The sequence below is a fragment of the Homo sapiens genome, chromosome 19 (genome assembly GCF_000001405.40).
Source record: "Homo sapiens chromosome 19, GRCh38.p14 Primary Assembly".
Taxonomy (NCBI): Eukaryota; Metazoa; Chordata; class Mammalia; order Primates; family Hominidae; genus Homo; species Homo sapiens.
In genome coordinates this window covers 50,490,987-50,511,232 of record NC_000019.10, presented here as the reverse complement: position 1 = coordinate 50,511,232, position 20,246 = coordinate 50,490,987, and the positions used below count along the sequence as shown (strand labels likewise).

The following is a 20,246-nucleotide window of genomic DNA, read 5'->3' as shown; positions in this document are numbered from 1 at the left end:
CCGTCCCGCCTGCCCAGTCAGCGCGGTGTTGCCCGCCCCGCACTCGGAGCCCAGAGCCGCCGCCCAGGAAGGGGATGCGGAAACCCCTGGCTCGGTGGAGCGGAGAGGCAGGCGGGGTGAGGGGCGTTGCCAGGCAAAGGGCGAGCGCCGTGGCTGGGGTGCGGGTCGGCGAAGGGCTCCATTCCTTGGTGTCCGGGGAGGGGGCCTGGTTGCTGGGTGATAGGAAGAGGAACTCCTGTTGCTTAGTGACTGGGGAGGGGGCCCCGTTGCCAGGTGACAAGAGCAGAGAGCCTCGCTGCTACATGACCGGGGAAGGGGAGTCTTCTGTTGCTAGGAGACCAGAGGGGACCCTATCACCTAGAGACAGGGGAGGAGGATTCTCTATTGCTAGGTGCTCGGAGGACAGACTTTGTTACCTAGTGCGGTGGGGAGGGGGCTTTGTTGCTAGGTAACCACAGAGCGCCCTGGTTACCTAGGGACGGGGAGGCAGGTTCCTCTGTTGCTAGGTGACCATGATAGGGACCCTTTTACTTAGAGACCTGGTGAGGGTGGTTTTCTGTTGCTAGGGGAGCAGAAGAGACAGCGTTTTTCGTAGGAATAGGAATAAGGGATGGAGGGACGTGTGCTGCCAGGAGACTGCCAGGGAGCGGGGTCAGGGGCCCAGTGTCTTCCTGGGCTGCTCCGAGTCCCAGCTCAATCAATGGCGATGCCCCAAAGGCCTGCTGGGAGGCTGGACCTCTAGATCCCGGGCCCCTGAGGACCTTCTCCCCCTCCCAACCCCCAGCAGGAGCCGAGGACGGCATGTCCCAGGCCCCGGGAGCACAGCCGAGCCCACCCACCGTGTACCACGAACGGCAGCGCCTGGAGCTGTGTGCTGTCCACGCCCTCAACAACGTTCTGCAGCAGCAGCTCTTTAGCCAGGAGGCTGCCGATGAGATCTGCAAGAGGTGACCGTCACCCACCCCAGCCCCTGGAGCAGCAGAGCTCTGGCGGAGTGACCCACCTGGGTCTCGCCGCCAGGCAGGCGCTGAGCCTTGGGGGCTTTCTTCTGCTCCGCGCTCACTTGCCTAAGCTAGACGCTGGGACTCTGGGGAGATGTTGCCTCCTGTGCCTGTCTGTCCCTGTGGCCTCAGCCCCAGCCAGACCTCAATCCAGTGGTTCTTTCTTTTTTTTTTTTTTTTGAGACTGAGTCTCACTCTGTTGCCCAGGCTGGAGTGCAGTTGCGCGATCTCGCTCACTGCGAGCTCGGCCTCCCGGGTTCATGCCATTCTCCTGCCTCAGCCTCCCGAGTAGCTGGGACTACAGGCACCCGCCACCACGCCCGGCTAATTTTTTGTATTTTTAGTAGAGACGGGGTTTCACCATGTTAGCCGGGATGGTCTCAATCTCCTGACCTCGTGATCCACCCGCCTCGGCCTCCCAAAGTGCTAGGATTACAGGCGTGAGCCACTGCACCCGGCCCAGTGGTTCTTTCTTTAGAGACAAGGTCTGGCTGGTCTTGAACTCCTGAGCTTAAGTGATCCTCCCACCTCAGCCTCCCCAGTAGCTGGGATTACAGGCTCACCCAGCTTCAGGCATCTCTTATCTGGGCCCTGTCACAGCTCTCCAGTCCATCCTAAACACGCCCCCGCCCTACTCAGGGCCCTCCTCATAGCGGAGGCCGAGCCTGCCTCCGCATCTTCAGCCCTCACGGCCCCCCTCAAACCAGACTCTCCACTCCCGTGAGCCCTTCTGTGCGGCCTCTGGGCTTCCAGGTACTTCTTTCTGCCCGGCATGGCTTCCTTCTCTGCCAGCATGGAATGTTCCTCTTCACTATTCACAATGTCCAACATCACTCTTTGGCCGGGCGCAGTGGCTCACACCTGTAATCCCAACACTTTGGGAGGCTGAGGCGGGTGGATCACTTGAGGTCAGGAATTCCAGACCAGCCTGGCCAACAGGGCGAAACCCCGTCTCTACTAAAAAATAAAAATAAATAAAAAATAAAATTAGCTGGGCGTGGTGGCACATGTCTGTAGTCCCAGCTACTCTGGAGGCTAAGGTGGGAGAATTGCTTGAAGCTGGGAGACAGAGGTTTCAGTGAGCCGGGCAACAGAGCAAGACTGTCTCAAAAAAAAAAAAAAAAAAAATCACTCCTTTACCATCTCTCACTCCCTCCTCTCTGTCCCCATGTCCCTGGCCCCAGCTCAGGCCTGACCCTCTCCTGCCCAGCCTGCCCATGGCCTCCAGTCTGTCCCTGCCTTCAGTCCCCACTTGATCCTAGAGAGTCTTTCTACACCTGGAGATGGCCCTGCCTCCCCTGCCTCTTGCTCCAAGCCTCCTCCGGCTCTCGGACATCTTAAGAGTCCCAGCCCCTCAGACTGATTATTATGGTATTTAGTCATCTCCTCTATCATTCGCAACAAGGACCCATCAGCTCTTTCATACAAAAGCCATGCTGGAGACCCTGAGATGACTCAGACACAAGTGCCAGCCTAAGGGTGGTGAGGGAAACACACACACACACACACACACACACACACACACACACACACGAGCGTTTTCCTCCCATGTCCTGCCTGCCCAGGGTCCAGATAGGGAACAGAGGTGCAGCTGTTCAGAGGCAGGGCCCAGAGACAAGTGGTGACAGGCGGAAGAGCCTTCCTAGGCAGGGGAAGAGCTGGAGGAAAGGTTGGCGGGGGTGGGGCGGGAGGCGGTGGGCACCGGGGATGTGGCTGGGGACAGGGGACCAGGAAGGAGGGTGCTGAGGCTCTGAGGTGAGGCCACCAGAGCCAGACCACGCAGGGCCTTGTGGGACTCTGTCCTGGGGGAAATGAGGCAGCAGAGTGGGCTGTGAGCAGGGGAGGGGTGAGGGCAACCCCGTGGGAGAAGCAAGCAGTGTTAAATCAGGGTGATGCGGGCAGCTGTCATCGTTGAGGTGGCTCAGTTCACTGGGGGAGCCCAGACAGGGCCCCGATCCAGCCTGGAGGTCAGGAGGCTCCTCTCAGAGGACGTGACATCTGAGGTGGGCCTTGAAGGACAGAGGAAGGGACTGGCGGAGGGACAGGGACTTTGTCCAAGGCATTGGGGAGCCATGGGAGAGCTGAGAGCAGGAGAGGGCCAGGGCCGTGTGGGAATGGACTGGAGGGAGGCTGGAGGCTGCGGGAGAAGACAGAGCCCATCTGGGGCCTTGGGGACAGGGCAGAGTCAGGGCAGGAGAGACAGGACTTGGGGACAGGGCAGAGTCAGGGCAGGAGAGACAGGACTTGGGGACAGGGCAGAGTTGGGGCAGGAGAGGCAGGACTTGGGGACAGGGCAGAGTCGGGGCAGGAGAGGCAGGACTTGGGGACAGGGCAGAGTCAGGGCAGGAGAGACAGGACTTGGGGACAGGGCAGAATTGGGGCAGGAGAGGCAGGACTTGGGGGTGGATGAGTTGTGGGGTCTGAAGCGGGGAGAGTCAAAGGCTGAGGCAACTTGTGGCCCCTGGGACCCCCATTTTGTGGGGAGGCCTTTCCAGGGGTCCCCACCTCAGCTCTGGCCACCCCCACTACCAGGTTGGCCCCAGACTCCCGGCTGAACCCTCATCGCAGCCTCCTGGGCACCGGCAACTATGATGTCAATGTGATCATGGCCGCTCTGCAGGGGCTGGGCCTGGCCGCCGTGTGGTGGGACAGGAGGAGGTAGGCCCCAGAGCAGCACAGCATGTGCTGGGCCGGGCACAGAGGGCACCCTATAGTGTGAGCCTGTTGGGGGGCAGGGAGGGGAATGTGGCTGGGGGAGGTTGGCATGAATGTGGGAAGCCTGGCACTGATGGGTTGAAAGGGGGAGATCAGGTGGTCGATGGGCTGAGATGCTGGGTGGATGATGGTTACTGGGTGAATGCTGAGTAGGCCGTTGGATGTGTTGGGTCAGGGGGAGTGAAGTGATGGGTGTTCCTGGGCAATGGGCAGCAGACAGGAGGCTGGGGAGTTGGGTGGATGAATGGGAAGTTTTGATGGCCGGCTGGCCAGTGGCTGGGCATGTGGCTGGTGGATGAGGGGTAGACCAATGGCAGGGGGGTCAAGAGTGAGTGAGGATTGGGGGCATGGCGAGTCCACTGTTGGGTGAATGGCTGGCTGGGTGGTGGCCGGCTGTGTGGGTGGGTGGGTGGGTGGTGGGTGGTGAACAGTAGATGGCTAGTTGGATGGTGATGGTGGTTGGGTGGTTGACGGGGAGGTGGGGCGGGTGTATATGAGGGATGGAAGTGAATGCATAGATGGGAGGTGAGTGTGTGAATCGTCATTGGGAAGTTGGCTGGTGGCTGGGAGGCTCAGTGGGGTGGGCGGATCATGCATGGATCCTGGGTGGCTGTGTGAGGAGTTGGTAAGTTGGTGGGTGGGTGGCTGGACAGACAGGGTGATGGTGGTTGGTGAAGGGCCGATGTGAGTTGGGTGGACGGTGGGTGGGTGGGTGGACGGTGGGTGGGTGGGTGGGAGGTCTGGTTGGGTGGCCGCATGGGTGGGAGGTTTGAGTGGGCAGGTGAACGGATGAGTGTCGGGAACCAGGGTGGCTGATTAAGGAACACCTCTGGGTGGGCTCAGGAGGCCCTCACCACCACCAGCCTGGGCCCCACATGTTCAGCAACATTTCACCGGCGGGCGGAGCAGGCCCTGATGGCAGTGTCCCCTCCCTGCCCACACAGGCCCCTGTCCCAGCTGGCCCTGCCCCAGGTACTGGGGCTGATCCTGAACCTGCCCTCGCCCGTGTCGCTGGGGCTGCTGTCACTGCCGCTGCGCCGGCGGCACTGGGTGGCCCTGCGCCAGGTGGACGGTGTCTACTACAACCTGGACTCCAAGCTGCGGGCGCCCGAGGCCCTGGGGGATGAGGACGGAGTCAGGTGAGCCCCACAGAGGCGATTCCAAGACCAGGGGCCTGAAACCCCACTCCCCAGACGGAATGCCCAGGCTGGCCGAGCCTCAGTCTCCCCATTTCTCCCACCCAGGGCCTTCCTGGCGGCTGCGCTGGCCCAGGGCCTGTGCGAGGTGCTGCTGGTAGTGACCAAGGAGGTGGAGGAGAAGGGCAGCTGGCTGCGGACAGACTGACCATGGCTGACCATCGGCGCCCACAGCGCAGTCCCTGCGCATCCCCCTCCGGCTGCGCACACTGCATGCCTGGGAAAGGCCAGCACTTCATGGACCCTGGGGAGGCCCCGCCCCCTCCCCACACCCCTGCTCCCCACTGCCGCTGCTGCCTCAATAAATCTGCTGATTTGCTGCCTGCCTGGCCTGTGTCTGACGGCCCCACCCTTCTGGGGCCCCTTCCACTCAGTGACTCCCACTTACCTTACAGGCCAGACACCCTGGTGTGTGGGGCCGAGAGCCCAGGAGGCCTCCTGGTTCTCTGCCACCTCATGCCAGTTTCTCACTGCTGGGCCTCAGTTTCCTCATCAGTGACACAGCAGAAAAAAACACAAGTCCGTGCCCCCTGGGGCTCACGCTCCTCCGGTGCTGGAGAGAGACCAGTGGCAAACAAATGAGTTTGATCTCCTGGGTTCCACGGGGGTCATTGCTAAGGAGAAAGCAGGTGTTTACTTCTTTATTTGATTGATTGATTGAGACAGGGGTCTCACTCTGTCACCCAGGCTGGAGTGCAGTGGGTCAATCACAGCTCACTGTAGCCTTGAACTCCTGGGCTCAAGCGACCCTCCCACCTCAGCCTCCCAAGTAGCTGGGACCACGGGTGCATGCCACCATACCTGACTACTTTCTTTAAATTTTTTTGTAGAGATGGGATCTCGCTTTGTTGCCCAGGCTGGTCTTGAACTCCTGACCTCAAGCAATCTGCCTGCCTCTGCTTCCCAAAGTGCTGGGATTATAGGTGTGAGCCACCATGCCTGAGTTTACTTCTTGACTCTCGATTCTATTCCGTTGATTGGCAGGCGGGCAGAACAGTGGCCCCAAAGATGTCCACACCCTGGCCAGATGTGGTGCCTCATGCCTGTAATCACAGTGCTTTGGGAGGCTGAGGTCCACAAGTATGAGACCAGCCTGGGCAACATAGCAAGACCCTGTCTCTAAAAAAAAAAAAAATTAAAATAAGTGGCATGTGAGGCTGGTGGCTCACGCCTGTAATCTCAGCACTCTGGAAGGCCGAGGCGGGTAGATCACCCGAGGTCAAGAGTTCAAGACTGGCCAGGCGCGGTGGCTCATGGCTGTAATCCCAACACTTTGGGAGGCTGAGGCAGGCAGATCACGAGGTCAGGAGATCGAGACCATCCTGGCTAACACGGTGAAACCCCGTCTCTACTAAAAATACAAAAAAATTAGCCAGGCATGGTGGCGGGCACCTGTAGTCCCAGCTACTTGGGAGGCTGAGGCAGGAGAATGGCATGAATCCGGGAGGCAGAGCTTGCAGTGAGCCAACATTGTGCCACTGCACTCCAGCCTGGGCAACAGAGCGAGACTCTGTCTCAAAAAAAAAAAAAAAAAGAGTTCAAGACCAGCCTGGCCAACATGGTGAAACCCCATCTCCACTAAAAATACAAAAATTAGCTGGTTGTAGTGGCGGGTGCCTGTAATCCCAGCTACTCAGGAGGCTGAGGCAGGAGAATCGCTTGAACCCAGGAGATGGAGGTTTTGGTGAGCCAAGATCGCACCACTGCACTTCAGCCTCGGCAACAGAGGAAGACTCTGTCTCATAAATAAATAAGCGGGACATGGTGGCCAGCACCTATAATCGCAGCTACTTGGGAAGCTGAGGCAGGAGGATTGCTTGAGCCCAGGAGGTTAAGGCTGCAGTTAGCCATGATCGTGAGTAAGAGAGATCTTGTCTCAAAAATATAATAGCCCAGGCATGGTGGCTTACACCTGTAACCCTAGCACTTTGGGAGGCAAAAGCAGGAGTATCACTTGAGCTCAGGAGTTTGAAACCAGCCTGGGCAACATAGTGAGACCCCGTCTCTACAAAAAATTTTAAAATAAGCTAAGCATGGTGGTGCACACCTGTGATCCCAGCTACTTGGGGGGTGGAGGCAGGAGGATCACTTGAGGCCAGGAGGTCGAGGCTGTAGTAAGCCATGATCGAATCACTGCACTCCACCCTGGGTGACAGAGTGAGACCCTGTCTCAAAAAAATAAATAAAAATAAATATAATAGACCAGGCACGGTGGCTCACGCCTGTAATCCCAGCACTTTGGGAGGCCAAGGCGGGCAGATCGCGAGGTCAGGAGATTGAGACCATCCTGGCTAACATGGTGAAACCCCGTCTCTACTAAAAATACAAAAAAATTCGCTGGGCGTGGTGGTGGGCACCTGTAGTTTCAGCTACTGGGGAGGCTGAGGCAGGAGAATGGCGTGAATCCAGAAGGCAGAGCTTGCAGTGAACCAAGATCGTGCCACTGCACTCCAGCCTAGGTGACAGAGTGAAACTCCGTCTCAAAAATAATAATAATAATAATAATAGGCCAGGTGCCGTGGCTCACGCCTATAATCCCAGTACTTTGGGAGGCCGAGGTGGGTGGATCACGAGGTAAAGGGATCGAGACCAGCCTGGCCAACATGGTGAAAACCCCATCTCTACTAAAATTACAAAAATTAGCCAGGTGTGGTGGTGCACGCCTGTAATTCCAGCTGCTCGGGAGGCTGAAGCAGGAGAATCACTTGAACCCAGGAGGTGGAGGTTTTGGTGAGCCGAGATTGCACCACTGCACTCCAGCTTTGGCAACAGAGGAAGACTCTGTCTCATAAATAAATAAATAAGTGGGACGTGGTGGCCTGCGCCTGTAATCACAGCTACTTGGGAAGCTGAGGCAGAAGGACTGCTTGAGCCCAGGAGGTTAAGGCTGCAGTTAGCCATGATCGTGAGTAAGAGAGACTTTGTCTCAAAATATAATAGCCCAGGCATGGTGGCTCACACCTGTAACCCTAGCACTTTGGGAGGCAAAAGCAGGAGGATCACTTGAGCTCAGGAGGTCGAGGCTGTAGTGACCCATGATCGAATCACTGCACTCCACCCTGGGTGACAGAGTGAGACCCTGTCTCAAAAAAATAAATAAAAATAAATATAATAGACCAGGCACGGTGGCTCACGCCTGTAATCTCAGCACTTTGGGAGGCCGAGGCGGGCGGATCATGAGGTCAGAAGACTGAGACCATCCTGGCTAACACGGTGAAACCCCGTCTCTACTAAAAATACAAAAAAATTAGCCAGGCATGGTGGCAGGCGCCTGTAGTCTCAGCTACTGGGGAGGCTGACGCAGAATGGCGTGAATCCAGAAGGCGGAGCTTGCAGTGAGTGGAGATCGTGCCACTGCACTCCAGCCTGGGTGACAGAGTGAGGCTCCATCTCAAACAAACAAACAAAAAATTAGGCCAGGTGCAGTGGCTCACGCTTATAATCCTAGCACTTTGGGAGGCTGAGGTGGGTGGATCACAAGGTAAAGAGATTGAGACCATCCTGGCCAACATGGTGAAAACCCCATCTCTACTAAAATTACAAAAATTAGCCAGGTGTGGTGGCACATGCCTGTAATCCCAGCTACTCAGGAGACTGAGGCAGGAGAATTGCTTGAACCTGCAAGGCGGAGGTTGCAGTGAGCCGAGATCGCACCAACTGCACTCCAGTCTGGGTGACAGAGTGAGACACCGTCTCAAAAAAAAAAAAAATTAGCCAGGCATGGTGGCAGGTACCTGTAATCCCAGCTACCTGGGAGGCTGAGACAGGAGAATCGCTTGAACCCAGGAGGCGGAGGTTGCAGTGAACTGAGATCGCGCCATTGAACTCCAGCCTCAGCAACAAGAGTGAAACTCCATTTCAAAAAAAAAAATTAATTAAAATAAATACAGTTAAAAGATGCCTTGTCCTAATCCCTGGAGCCTGTGAATATGTTGTGTTACTTGGCCAAGGGAGAGTGAGGTTGCGAGTGGGACTGGGACAGGGAGAGTGTCCTGGATCCCCCGGTGGGCCCCGGGTCATCACGAGGGTCCCCACAGCGGAGGAGGGACGCCTGTGCTGACGGGAAGTGTCGGCCCACCCTCCCAGCTCCCACCCTGTGGGGAGACCCAAGGGGACACCAAGAGTTTCTGTCCCAGCAGTGGGGGCTTTTATGGGGTTCCCACAGAGCACTGCAGGGACGAGAGAACAGAGAAGGGACCCCGGGACAAGCAAGTCGCATAAAATGGCCCAGAGACAAGGCTGGCCACGGAAGGCTGAGGAGGGCTCTGCAGAGGCTGGCGGGGCACGGGAGGGCACTCCAGAATTGGAAGTCATCCCGGATGAGACCTGGAACGCCACGGCTGTTTATCGCCAGAGTTATTTGAGGAGGTGATGAAGGAGGAGGGTGGGTCCCGGCCAGGAACCCAACCAGGCGGGACCTCCAAGGGCAGCCTGGGAGCTGCGAGAAGGGAAGGACAGGTCAGCTCTGGGTGCAGAGACCCCTCTGGGGCTGCAGGCACAGAATGGAGGGGGAACCAGAAGCCAGGAGGCCCGGGAGGAGGCTGGGAGGGGCGAGGCAGGGCTTGAGCTAGGCCCCTGAGGGCGACAGAGAGGAGGGTCTGAGGCTGGTGGGCCCTGGGAGGTGAGGAGGCAGGAATGAGTGGAAGGTGTCCAGGGGCCTGGATGAACCTGGGGATCCCCGTTAGGCACCTGCAGAAGTGGGGGACTCAGGCACAGGGAGGCAAGGGGTCCCTGGCTTGGGGTGTGTCCCCTCCTGGAGCCACAGGCCCATGCGCCCAGGCAGGCAGTTCATCCAGGCAGCCCACAAGCTGCCCATGCACCCCTGGCAAGGTGGAGCTGATGCCCCGCAGGACACACTCATGAAAGCCCTGGCTGCGCATGGACCAGGGTGTGGCAGGTTCTGGTTTGCAAGTTTTCCCAAGGTCAAAGGGCAGGTCGTAAAGTTAAAAGCCAGACAGCACCGGAGGGGAAACTGCTGGGGGTTGCAGACTCCCGAACGGCTCTGGCCCCATCCCATCCAGATCCCTGCACCTCCTGCCCGCCCACCGGGCTCCCCACGCCTCTGCTGGTGTGGGTCTCGCTCTCTGCCCCATCTGGGTGTCTGGCCCCGGGCCCCTGGCTAACCCCCTCTGTCTCTGTGTCTCCCTCTCTCGCTTCGCCTGTCTCAGCCTCCCTTCTCTATCTCTCTTGCTGGGCATTTCTCTCCACCCCTCTCTGTCTCTTTGACCCTGTCTCTCTGTCTCTCCCACGGTCTCTCTCAGTCTCTCCTCAGCTCGCTGTCTCTCCCCTCTGTCTGTGTCTCTCCCCTTCTCTCAGTGCCCCTGGGCCCCTCCCTGCCACCCTGTGCCTGTCGCCTGTCCCATCGCAGGTCCCAGACAGACTGGCGGGGGCCTGAGTGTTGCTATTCTTGGGCCTGAGTGGCAGGCGGGGCTGTGGCCCCCAGGTGCGTCCTGGGCTATGGCCAAATAAGGTCCGGAGTGAGGAGCCCCGGGAGGAGGAGCTGGGGGCGCTGGGGGTGGGGGGAGAGGGGCCAGCTGACCTCCTCCTGCTCCCACTCCCTCCTGCCCCAACCCCCATATTCTGGCAGGTGAGAGCGGGCAGGACAGACCAGGTCATTGCATCAACTAAGCACTTACTGTCTGCCCCTCACAGTGCAGAGCGCCTGTGCCCCCACCCGCTGGGACTGCTCTTCCCAGGGGAGCGCCTCAGGACTCAGAGGGCTACCGCTTGCCCCAGGGCACCCGGCCAGGCCTGTCCCAGAGCTGAGGGGGCTGGGGCGCCCCGCACAGATGCCAGTGGCCTCTCCACACCCCCAGGCTGCAGAAAGGGAGAGGGAGGGGCTGTGGTCAAGAGGCAGGCGCAGGGCAGGTGCGGGGGGAGGGGGACAGCTGTCCCACACCCCCTGGTGGTGACAGCTGCTGCCCGATTTAGCTCACAGAGCCGGGTCTGGCCAGATAAGGCAGTTGGGTGGGGGGGCGGTCTCACCCCCAGGGCACCCCTTAAATCGCACAGTCGGGCCCAGGGTTCAGCTGCCACCGACGCCAGGTGAGAGGGGCTGTTCTTTCCTCGACCTCCTGCCGCAAGGCTCCGCGCGTCTTCTCTCGCTGTCTCCCTCCGTCTCTCTCTCCCTCTCTCTCTCCGTCTCCCTCTCTCCCTGTCTCTCTCTCCCTCTGTCTCCCTCTCTCCCTCTGTCTCTCTCTCTCCCTGTCTCTCTCTCCGTCTCTCTCTCTCCCTCTGTCTCTCTCTCCGTCTCCCTCTGTCTCTCTCTCTCCATCTCTCTCTCTCTTTCTCCCTCTCTCCCTCTGTCTCTCTCTCCGTCTCTGTCTCCCTCTCTCTCTCTCTGTCTCTCTCTCCCTCTGTCTCCCTCTCCCTCTGTCACCCTCTCTCCCTCTGTCTCTCTCTCTCCCTGTCTCTCCCTCTGTCTCTCTCTCTCCATCTCTCTCTCTCCGTCTCTCTCTCCGTCTCCCTCTGTCTCTCTCTCTCCGTCTCTCTCTCTCCCTCTCTCCGTCTCTCTCTCTCCGTCTCTCTCTCTCCCTCTCTCCCTCTGTCTCTCTCCGTCTCTCTCTCCCTCTCTCTCTCTCTCCTTCTCTCTCCCTCTCTCTGTCTCTCTCTCCCTCTGTCTCTCTCTCCGTCTCTCTCTCTCCGTCTCTCTCTCTCCCTCTGTCTCTCTCTCCCTGTGTCTCTCTCTCCCTGTCTCCCTCTGTCTCTCTCTCCCTGTCTCTCTCTCCCTGTCTCTCTCTCTCCGTCTCTCTCTCCCTCTCTTTCTCCGTCTCTCCCTCTGTCTCTCTCTCCCTCTCTCTCTCTCTCCCTCTGTCTCTCTCTCTGTCTCCCTCTGTCTCTCTCTCTCCGTCTCTCTCTCCCTCTCTTTCTCCCTCTCTCCCTCTGTCTCTCTCTCCGTCTCTGTCTCCCTCTCTCTCTCTGTCTCTCTCTCCCTGTCTCTCTCTCCCTCTGTCTCTCTCTCTCCCTCTGTCTCTCTCTCTCCCTGTCTCTCCCTCTGTCTCCCTCTCTCCCTCTGTCTCTCTCTTCCTGTCTCTCTCTCTCCCTCTGTCTCTCTCTCTCCCTGTCTCTCCCTCTGTCTCCCTCTCTCCCTCTGTCTCTCTCTCTCCGTCTCTCTCTCTCCCTGTCTCTCTCTCCGTCTCCCTCTGTCTCTCTCTCCGTCTCTCTCTCCCTCTCTCCGTCTCTCTCTCTCCGTCTCCCTCTGTCTCTCTCTCCGTCTCTCTCTCTCCCTCTCTCCGTCTCTCTCTCTCCGTCTCTCTCTCTCCCTCTCTCCCTCTGTCTCTCTCCGTCTCTCTCTCTCCCTCTCTCTCTTTCTCCCTCTCTCCCTCTGTCTCTCTCTGTCTCTGTCTCCCTCTCTCTCTCTCTCTCCTTCTCTCTCCCTCTCTCTGTCTCTCTCTCCCTCTGTCTCTCTCTCCGTCTCTCCCTCTCCGTCTCTCTCTCTCCCTCTCTCTCTCTCTCCCTGTGTCTCTCTCTCCCTGTCTCCCTCTGTCTCTCTCTCCCTGTCTCTCTCTCTCCGTCTCTCTCTCCCTCTCTTTCTCCGTCTCTCCCTCTGTCTCTCTCTCCCTCTCTCTCTCTCTCCCTCTTTCTCTCTCCCTCTCCCTCTCTCCCTCTGTCTCTCTCTCCCACTCTCTCTCTCCCTCTTTCTCTCTCCCTCTGTCTCTCTCTCTCCGTCTCCCTCTCTCCGTCTCTCTCTCTCCCCCTCTTTCCCGCTGTCTCCCTCTCTCCTCTCTCTCTCCGTCTCTCTCTCCTTCTCTTTCTCCCTGTCTCTGTCTCTCTCCCCATCTGTCTTTCTCTGTGTCCCTCTCCCCAGTTCTCTTTATCTCCTCTCCTGCCTCATCTCCCTCTCCTCACTGTCTCTGTCTCTCATTCTCCCTATCGTTCTCTCCATCTCTCTCTCCTCCTTCTCGTCTGTTTCTCTCTGTCTCTCCATCTGTCTCATCTGTCTCTTCCTCCCACCTCTTTTCTGTGTCTCTGTCTCCTCCCCCCAACTTTCTCTCAGTCTCCCTCAGCACCCCCTGTTTCTCTTTCTTACTCTCCCTTTTCTCCCCATCTCTCTGTCTCTCCCTGGCTTTGTATCTCTGTGTCTCTTTCTCTCTGTCTTCTTCTATCTCTGTCTCTCCCCATCTTCTGTCTCTGCCTCTCCTCCACTTCTTTCTCTGCCTCTCCCCCACTTCTCTGTCTCTCCCCCACTTCTATCTCTGACTCTCCCCCACTTCTCTGTCTCTCTCTCCCCCACTTCTCTCTGTCTCTGTTTCTCCCCCACTTCTATCTCTGTCTCTCCCCCATTTCTCTCTCTGTCTCTCCCCACTTCTCTCTGTCTCTCCCCATTTCTATCTGTCTCTCCCCCATTTCTATTTCTGACTCTCCCCCACTTCTCTGCCTCTGTCTGTCCCCCACTTCTCTCTGTCTCTCTCCCCCATTTCTATCTCTGTCTCTCCCCCACTTCTCTCTGTCTCTGTCTCTCCCCATTTCTATCTCTGTCTCTCTCCCACTTCTGTCTCTCCCCCATTTCTATCTCTCTCTCCCCCACTTCTCTGTCTCTGTCTCCCCCACTATCTCTGTCTCTCCCCCACTTCTCTCTGTCTCTCCCCCACTTCTCTGTCTCTGTCTCCCCCACTTCTATCTCTGTCTCTCCATTTCTCTCTGTCTCTGTCTCTCCCCCACTTCTCTCTGTCTCTCCTCCACTTCCTCTATCTCTGTCTCTCCCCCATTTCTCTGTCTCTGTCTCTCCCCCACTTCTCTCTGTCTCTCCCCCACTTCTATCTCTGTCTCTCCTCTACTTCTCTCTGTCTCTGCCTCTCCCCCACTTCTATCTCTGTCTCTTCCCCATTTCTATCTCTGACTGTCCCCCACTTCTCTCTGCCTCTCTCCCACCATTTCTCTCTGTCTCTGTCTCTACCCCCATTTCTGTCTCTGTCTCTCCCCCCATTTCTCTCCATCTCTGTCTGTCTCTCCTGTCTCTGACTCCTCCTCTCTCCCCAGCTCCCTGGACGAAGCCCTCCGGGGCCTCTGCGGTCCCTGCTGAATAAAGCTGTTTCTGTCCTCACCTCTCTCCCTTCTGCGCCTCCTTCTTTCCTTCCTCACTCCTCTGCCTCTCAGCTCGGCCCCCCAGCCCTGATCCTGGGTATAGGGGGTGGGAATTCTGGAGCTGGGGGTGGGGGCTCCTCCCTCCCAGAGACAGAGATGGATGCAGAGAGAGAACCAGAGACAGGCACGGAAAGAGACAGAGAGAGACAGAGCGAGACAGAGACAAGATGGGGGCCGTAAGCTCAGAAATGAGAGAGACAGCAGGTCACAGAGACACAGCACGTGAGAGACAGGGAGACACAGAGAGACTCAGAGACAGACAGACCAGACAGCGCCCCCACTCCAATACACACAAACAGACACAGGGGACAAGAGCCGGTCAGGGCTGGACAGCCTCCCCTCCCCCTCCAGGCCAGGCCAGGCCAGGCGGTGCCAGGCCCAGGACAATGGGCCCTTGTCAGGGCTCCGGAGGAGCCAGCCAGCTGGGGAGGCCTGTGGGCTGGGCCACGGAGGAGGGTCGGCCACAGCGGCTGCTGGGTTGGGGAAGGTGCACCTCCTGCGGGCCTGGCCCACGGCCTCCACCCTCAGACTCTCCTTCTCCCCTGGCCTCCCTTCCTGGGGTCTCCACCTACTCCCAGCCTGCTTTCTCTGCTCTGCCTGGGGAAGGGGACAGGCATTTATGGAGTACCTGCTGTATGCACCCAAAATGCCTCCTCGCCTCTCCTCACACACTCCGTCTCCCGCCACGGGTGTGCCGTCCTCGGGTGTGCCCGCCTCGGGTGTGCCCGCCTCGGGTGTGCCGTCCTCGGCGCCCTCTACTTGTTCCTCCTGTGCCTCTGGCTCCTTCCATGGAAGAAACGGGCAATTATTAAGCACCTGATGCTTGGCAGGCAATTCCCCTAACCGCGTCTGCACTTTCCATCCTTCTTGCTTTCCTGTCCCTTCTGCCCCAGTTCCTTTCTCTTTCTGATTTGCTTGGTCTCTCCTGGGAAGGAAACGGGCATCTACTGAGCATCTGCTATGCGCCGAGGAGTTGAGGAACATGGCTCCTCTCTCGCTACCTTCTTTCCTCCCCCCACCCCCATTCCTTTCTTTCTTTTTTTCTTTCTAGGACAGGGTCTCACTCCGTCGCTCAGGTTGGAGCGCACACAATCGCAGCTCACTGCAGCCTCGACTTCCTGGGCTCAAGCAGTCCTCCCACCCCAGCCTCCCAAGTAGCTGGAACTCCACACACCACCATTCCTGGCTAATTTTTGTATTATTATTATTATTTGAGATGGAGTTTTGCTCTTGCCGCCCAGGCTGGAGTGCAATGGCGTGATCTCAGCTCATTGCAACCTCCACCTCCTGGGTTCAAGCGATTCTCCTGCCTCAGCCTCCCGAGTAGCTGGGATTACAGGCACCCGCCACCACGCCTGGATAATTTTTAAGTATTTTTAGTAGAGACGGGGTTTCACCATGTTGGTCAGGCTGGTCTTCAACTCCTGACCTCAGGTGATCCACCCACCTTGGCTCCCAAAGTGCTGGAATTACAGGAATGAGCCACCGCACCCAGCCTAATTTTTGTATTTTTTGTAGAGACAGGGTCTCTCTACGTTGGCCAGGCTGGTCTCGAACTCTTGGGCTCAAGCGATCCTCCCACCTCTGCCTCTCAAAGTGCTAGGATTACAGACATGAGCCACGGCGCCTGGCCCCTTTCTTTCCTCTCTATTGGTGTCCTCTCCTTTCTGACTTTCTGCTCTCTCCTGGCAGAGGGAGTGGACACATTTTGAGCACTTACTGTGTACTAAACACCTTACATACCTCTCTCCTCACTCTCTTCCTCCCCGGTCCCTCTTCTGTCCTTTCCTTGTGTTTCTGAGCTCTCTGCCCTCTTCCAAGGCAAGGACTACATTTATTGAGCACTTCTGGTATGCAAGCAATTATGTCCTTTCTCTCCTCTCCTCTTGCCCTTCAGTCTCCACTGACTCCACCAGTCTCTGCTTCTTTCTGCTCTGTGCCAGGGAAGAAAATGGGCATTTATTGAGTACCTATTGTGTGCCAGACAGTTTTCTTATTCTCCCCTAACCCTTCACTTCGCCTTCTTCCCTTATCTCTAACTTCTTTCTGTCCCATCGGCTCTTTCTCGGGGACAAAGACAAGCAATTATGGGGCACCTACTGTATGCCAGGCAATTAACATCCCTCCTCATCTCCTACCTCTTTCTCGCTGCCCCTCTTGCTCTGCCAGCTTATCCCCTTGCTGTTCTCTGGGTCCTTTTCTGGGGAAGGGTACAGGTGTTTATTGAGTGCCTCCTGTGTGCCCCATGGTTTACCTGCAATGCCCCCTCCCTGCGTATCCTCTCCTCTGCCACACTCCTCTCACTGATCCCTCCTCCCTCTGCTCCTCCACCCCCACGGAGGCCTCCTGGGCCAACCTTTTCCTCTCATTCCTGTCTGTGCCTTCATTTCTGTCTTGTTCTCTTGCTCCTCCAAGGACGACAATGTGCATTTATTGAGTGCCTCCTGTGTGCCCACCACCTCACCAGTGTACTTGTTCTCATTTCCTCTCTTCTCCCTGCCTCCTTCTCTCCACCAGCTTCTCCCCCTCCTCTCTGCCCTGCCAGCTCTTTCCTGAGGGAGGAAATAGGCATGTATTGAGTGCCTACTGTATGCTGCCGCTTCATCTACACTGTCTGCTTGCCTCACAGGCTCTGTTCTCCCTTCTCTCCTTTTCTCCTTCTCTCCGCTTGCTCCCTTCCTCCTGGCTGCTTTCTCTGTGCTTGCTGCCAGGGAGGAGAATGGGCATTTATTAGGCACCCACTGTGTATTAGTCACTTTACATATATTGTCTCCTTCCCACACAACAGTCTCTTCTATTCTCTCTGCTGGAGTTTCCTCCTCCTCCTCCTCCTCCTCCTCTCTTCCTCCTCTTCTCCTTCCTCCTCCTCTTCCTCCTTCTCTTCCTCCTCTTCCTCCTCTCCTCACTCCTCCTTTACTTTCTCCTGTCTCTTGGGGAAAAGAAATAACACTTAACAAACACCTACTGGTCTGCTTCACACTTTCCACCCGTGCCTCTCTCTCTTTTTTTTTTTTTTTTTTTGAGATGGAGTCTTGCTCTGTCGCCCAGGCTGGAGTGCAGGGGGGCAATCTGAGCTCACTGCAACCTCTGCCTCCCGGGTTCAAGCGATTCTCCTGTCTCAGCCTCCTGAGTAGCTGGGATTACAGGCACCCACCAACATGCTCGGCTAATTTTTTGTATTTTAGTAGAGACGGGGTTTCACCGTGTTGCCCAAGCTGGTCTCGAACTCCTGAGCTCAGGCAATCCACCTGCCTAGGCCTCCCAAAGTGCTGGGATTACAGGCGTGAGCCACCGTGCCTGGCTCTATGTCCCTCTCTTTAGGCTGCCTCTCCTTCTGCTTTTGCTCTGCGGGACTTTCTTCTTCTCCCTTTTCATGTGGTCCTGAAGGGCCTGGGCAGTTATTGAGCACCGACTGTGTGCCAGGCTTTTTATAGATACAGCCTCCCCTTCTCACCCTCGATTCCCCCTTTCTCTTCCTCTCTCTGCCTTCCTACTCTCTGTGCTCTCCCCTAGGAAAGGGGAAGGGCACCAATTGAGCGCCAACTGTGTACCAAGGCGACTCTCTTTAGCCCCTTCCTTTCCCCTCAGCCGCCACAGCCCTAGAAGGGGTGGCCAGCTACACCGTGCGGGGCTGCAGGAAAGAGGAGGAGGAAGGAGGATGTGGGCTGCAGCCTGATTTCTCCCTTGGAAAAATATGTGGACGACAATGGCTACTCCCTCCCAGGTCAGGGTGGGGTGGGGGAGGCTGAAGGAGGCCTGGAGGGACTCTAGGAAGGAACACTCTAGAATCTGAGCCTGAGAGGCAGCCCGTGCCCATGGAGGGGACGCTTCTGCTGCCAGTCACCACACTGGATTCAAGCCTGAGCCTCCTTCCTCCACCTCCCTCTCCCCTCCGCAGGCCTTCCTGCCCTGCAGACACTTGGCGGGTGGTCCCTGGACTCCTCACCACCTGAGGGAGCAGATGAGGAAACTGAGGCTCGGGCGGGAAAGAGGATTTGCCCCTCCCCATTCTCCTTCTACCTCTCCTCTGTGACCCCCTTCCTCTGTCTCTCTCGCCCTCTCCTCTCTCCCATTCTCTGAATCTCTCCCCCAACCCCTGCTCCCACTCTGTTCCTGTCTCTGCATGCCCCCAAATTCCCTTTTTTTTTTTTTTTTTTTTTTTTTGAGATGGGGACTCGCTCTGTCGCCCAGGCTGGAGTGCAATGGAGCGATCTCAGCTCACCGCAACCTCCTCCTCCCTCTTACTCCACCTCCTCCTCTTTCCTCCTTCCTCATCTTTCCTTCTCCTTCTTCCTCCTTCCTCTTACTCCCTCCTCCTTCCTCCTCCTTTCCCTCTTTCCTCTTCCTCCTCCCTCCTCCTCCTCACCCCTCCTCCCCCTTTCCTCCTCCTCTCCCTCTTTCCTCTTCTTCCTCCCTCCTCCTCCTTCCTCTTTCCTCCTCCTCTTTCCTCCTCCTCCTCACCCCTCCTCCCCCTTTCCTCCTCCTCCCCCTTCCTCCTCTTTCCTCTTCCTCCTTCTTCCTTCTCCTCCTCCTCTTTCCTCTCCCCCCTCCTCCTCCCCCTATCCATAACACACACACACACAGGCTGTCCCTGTCCCTGTGTGTCCTCTCTTCGGCTGGATCCTCAGTGTTTCCTCCTCTCTAGGTCTTGCACACACTGCTCCTCCCTTGGGCGATATTCCAGTCCTCCACACGCTTCCACCCAGCCCCACCTTTTCCTGATTGTCCACCTTGTGGCTCTCAGCCTTTCTGGAATCTTCTCCCTTGTCCTCCAGACTGCCACCCCCCACTGTCTTCTGCCCTCTCCTTCCCCTGCGCTAGGTCCTCCTCCTCATCCCCGCCCTGTCATTTCCTCATCGTCTGTACCCAACCCCCAGAGGAGGCGCTGATGGGGCCCCAGTCTCACTGTGCCCGTCCACAGCAACCGACTGTGTCAGAAGGAGACAAGGGGGCCGGGGACAAGGGGCAGCACTGTGGTTAGGGCCTGTGCCCTTGGTCTCCCTCCCTCCTCTGCCTCCTTTGCCTCCAGTTTCTGTCCCTTGGATTTGCCTCTCCTCTTTCCTCTCACTCCTGCCTCCCCTTCCTCTCCCTGCACCTTCAGTGAGTTCCACCTGGCTTCCCCTCCACACGCTCCTGGTGGCTTCTCTTTGGCGCTTCTCTCTCTCTCTCTCTCTCTCTCTCTCTCTCTCTCTCTCTCCCTGTCTCTCCCATCTCTCGCTGTCTCTGTCTCATTTTCTCAGTCCGTCTCTGTCTCTCTCGCTCTGTCTCTCTCACTCTCTTGCCATCATTGTCTCTGTTTCTCTCGCTGTCTCTTTCTTTCTCACTCTCTCGCCATCATTTTGTCTGTTTCTCTCACTGTCTCTCTCTGTCTCTCGCTTTCTGTCTCATTGTCTGTCTCTCTCTGGCTATCTCTCTTTTACTGTCTCTCTCTCGCTGTCTGTCTCTCACTCTCTCTCTCGGTCTCCCTCTTACTGTCTCTCTCACTGTCTCTCTTGCTGTCTCCCTGTCTCTTTCTCTCACTCTTTCTCGCTATCTCTGTTTCTCTCAACGTCTCTGTCTCTCTCGCTGTCTCTTTCTCTCTCCATCTCTCGCCATCTCTCTCTCCCTCTCTGTCTCTGACACACTCTATTTCTCCCATCCTCCCCTCCATGGGGCTTTCCTGTTTCCTTTCCATCCTCACCTTCACTCGCTCTTTCCTCTCCGTTTTCTCCCTCACCCCACAAGCTCTCTCCCCTCGCCTCTAGTCCCCCAAGTCCTTCCCAGCTCCGCCTCTCCATGCCCGCTCCTTCCTTTCCAGTTCCTCTGCCAGTCATTGTCCTTGACCCTTCCCTCTCCTCGTCTCTGCTCCCACCGGCTCGTCTGAGCCTGGCGCTGACAGCCTTCTCCCCACCCCGCCCAACCCCACCCCCGACTCCCGCCATCCCCTCGCCTCCTGGTCCCTGTCCCCCTCCCGCGTCCCCGTCTTCTTGATGACTCCAACAGCTGCAGCTGCAGAGGCCCCGAGGCCCCTCGGAGGAGACTGGGCAGGGAGGGCTCCTCCGCATGCTGGGATATTTTTATCCTGCCTTGGACGATCGGGACGATTGGTCCTGCAATCTGTTTCACCCTTTAAGAAACTCATTTCATGTCCTGCCAGGTCCTGGGACCATAAGCTCGCGTGTCTCCACAGTTGCACATTCCCGTCCGTCTGCAGCTCATTATCTGGGCCACAAGGACGTTACCCCATGACTTGGAAGGACGCGCCATCACG

At 57.4% G+C, this 20,246-nt stretch overlaps 1 protein-coding gene across 5 annotated transcripts, besides 8 other annotated features; it reads left to right on the top strand.

Annotated features, from left to right (window-relative positions):
• JOSD2 (Josephin domain containing 2) lies at window positions 42-5,235 on the top strand. Of its 5 annotated transcripts, none has more exons than NM_001270640.2 (5): window positions 42-116; window positions 788-947; window positions 3,534-3,659; window positions 4,661-4,855; window positions 4,961-5,235. In NM_001270640.2, exons 2-5 carry the CDS (start codon window positions 802-804, stop codon window positions 5,058-5,060), a joined length of 567 nt encoding a protein of 188 aa, NP_001257569.1. In that variant the 5' UTR covers window positions 42-116; window positions 788-801; the 3' UTR covers window positions 5,061-5,235. The 5 variants fall into 5 exon arrangements, with proteins under 5 accessions (NP_001257569.1, NP_001257568.1, NP_001257615.1 ...); NM_001270639.2 differs by having other exon boundaries at window positions 785-947; NM_001270686.2 differs by having other exon boundaries at window positions 42-158.
• Window positions 61-190: a silencer, noted in NCBI's record as "silent region_10971". NCBI's record gives its function as "represses an Ori minimal core promoter by ATAC-STARR-seq in GM12878 lymphoblastoid cells {active_cell/tissue: GM12878}" and the evidence as "EXISTENCE:reporter gene assay evidence [ECO:0000049][PMID:35858748]".
• Window positions 355-861: an enhancer, noted in NCBI's record as "H3K4me1 hESC enhancer chr19:51013629-51014135 (GRCh37/hg19 assembly coordinates)". NCBI's record gives its function as "activates a minimal SCP1, AML or CMV promoter by ChIP-STARR-seq in naive H9 embryonic stem cells {active_cell/tissue: H9 hESC(naive)}" and the evidence as "EXISTENCE:reporter gene assay evidence [ECO:0000049][PMID:30033119]".
• Window positions 862-1,369: an enhancer, noted in NCBI's record as "H3K4me1 hESC enhancer chr19:51013121-51013628 (GRCh37/hg19 assembly coordinates)". NCBI's record gives its function as "activates a minimal SCP1, AML or CMV promoter by ChIP-STARR-seq in naive H9 embryonic stem cells {active_cell/tissue: H9 hESC(naive)}" and the evidence as "EXISTENCE:reporter gene assay evidence [ECO:0000049][PMID:30033119]".
• Window positions 9,239-9,902: an enhancer, noted in NCBI's record as "H3K4me1 hESC enhancer chr19:51004588-51005251 (GRCh37/hg19 assembly coordinates)". NCBI's record gives its function as "activates a minimal SCP1, AML or CMV promoter by ChIP-STARR-seq in naive H9 embryonic stem cells {active_cell/tissue: H9 hESC(naive)}" and the evidence as "EXISTENCE:reporter gene assay evidence [ECO:0000049][PMID:30033119]".
• Window positions 10,713-10,762: a silencer, noted in NCBI's record as "silent region_10970". NCBI's record gives its function as "represses an Ori minimal core promoter by ATAC-STARR-seq in GM12878 lymphoblastoid cells {active_cell/tissue: GM12878}" and the evidence as "EXISTENCE:reporter gene assay evidence [ECO:0000049][PMID:35858748]".
• Window positions 10,863-10,912: a silencer, noted in NCBI's record as "silent region_10969". NCBI's record gives its function as "represses an Ori minimal core promoter by ATAC-STARR-seq in GM12878 lymphoblastoid cells {active_cell/tissue: GM12878}" and the evidence as "EXISTENCE:reporter gene assay evidence [ECO:0000049][PMID:35858748]".
• Window positions 18,948-19,027: an enhancer, noted in NCBI's record as "active region_14991". NCBI's record gives its function as "activates an Ori minimal core promoter by ATAC-STARR-seq in GM12878 lymphoblastoid cells {active_cell/tissue: GM12878}" and the evidence as "EXISTENCE:reporter gene assay evidence [ECO:0000049][PMID:35858748]".
• Window positions 19,068-19,127: an enhancer, noted in NCBI's record as "active region_14990". NCBI's record gives its function as "activates an Ori minimal core promoter by ATAC-STARR-seq in GM12878 lymphoblastoid cells {active_cell/tissue: GM12878}" and the evidence as "EXISTENCE:reporter gene assay evidence [ECO:0000049][PMID:35858748]".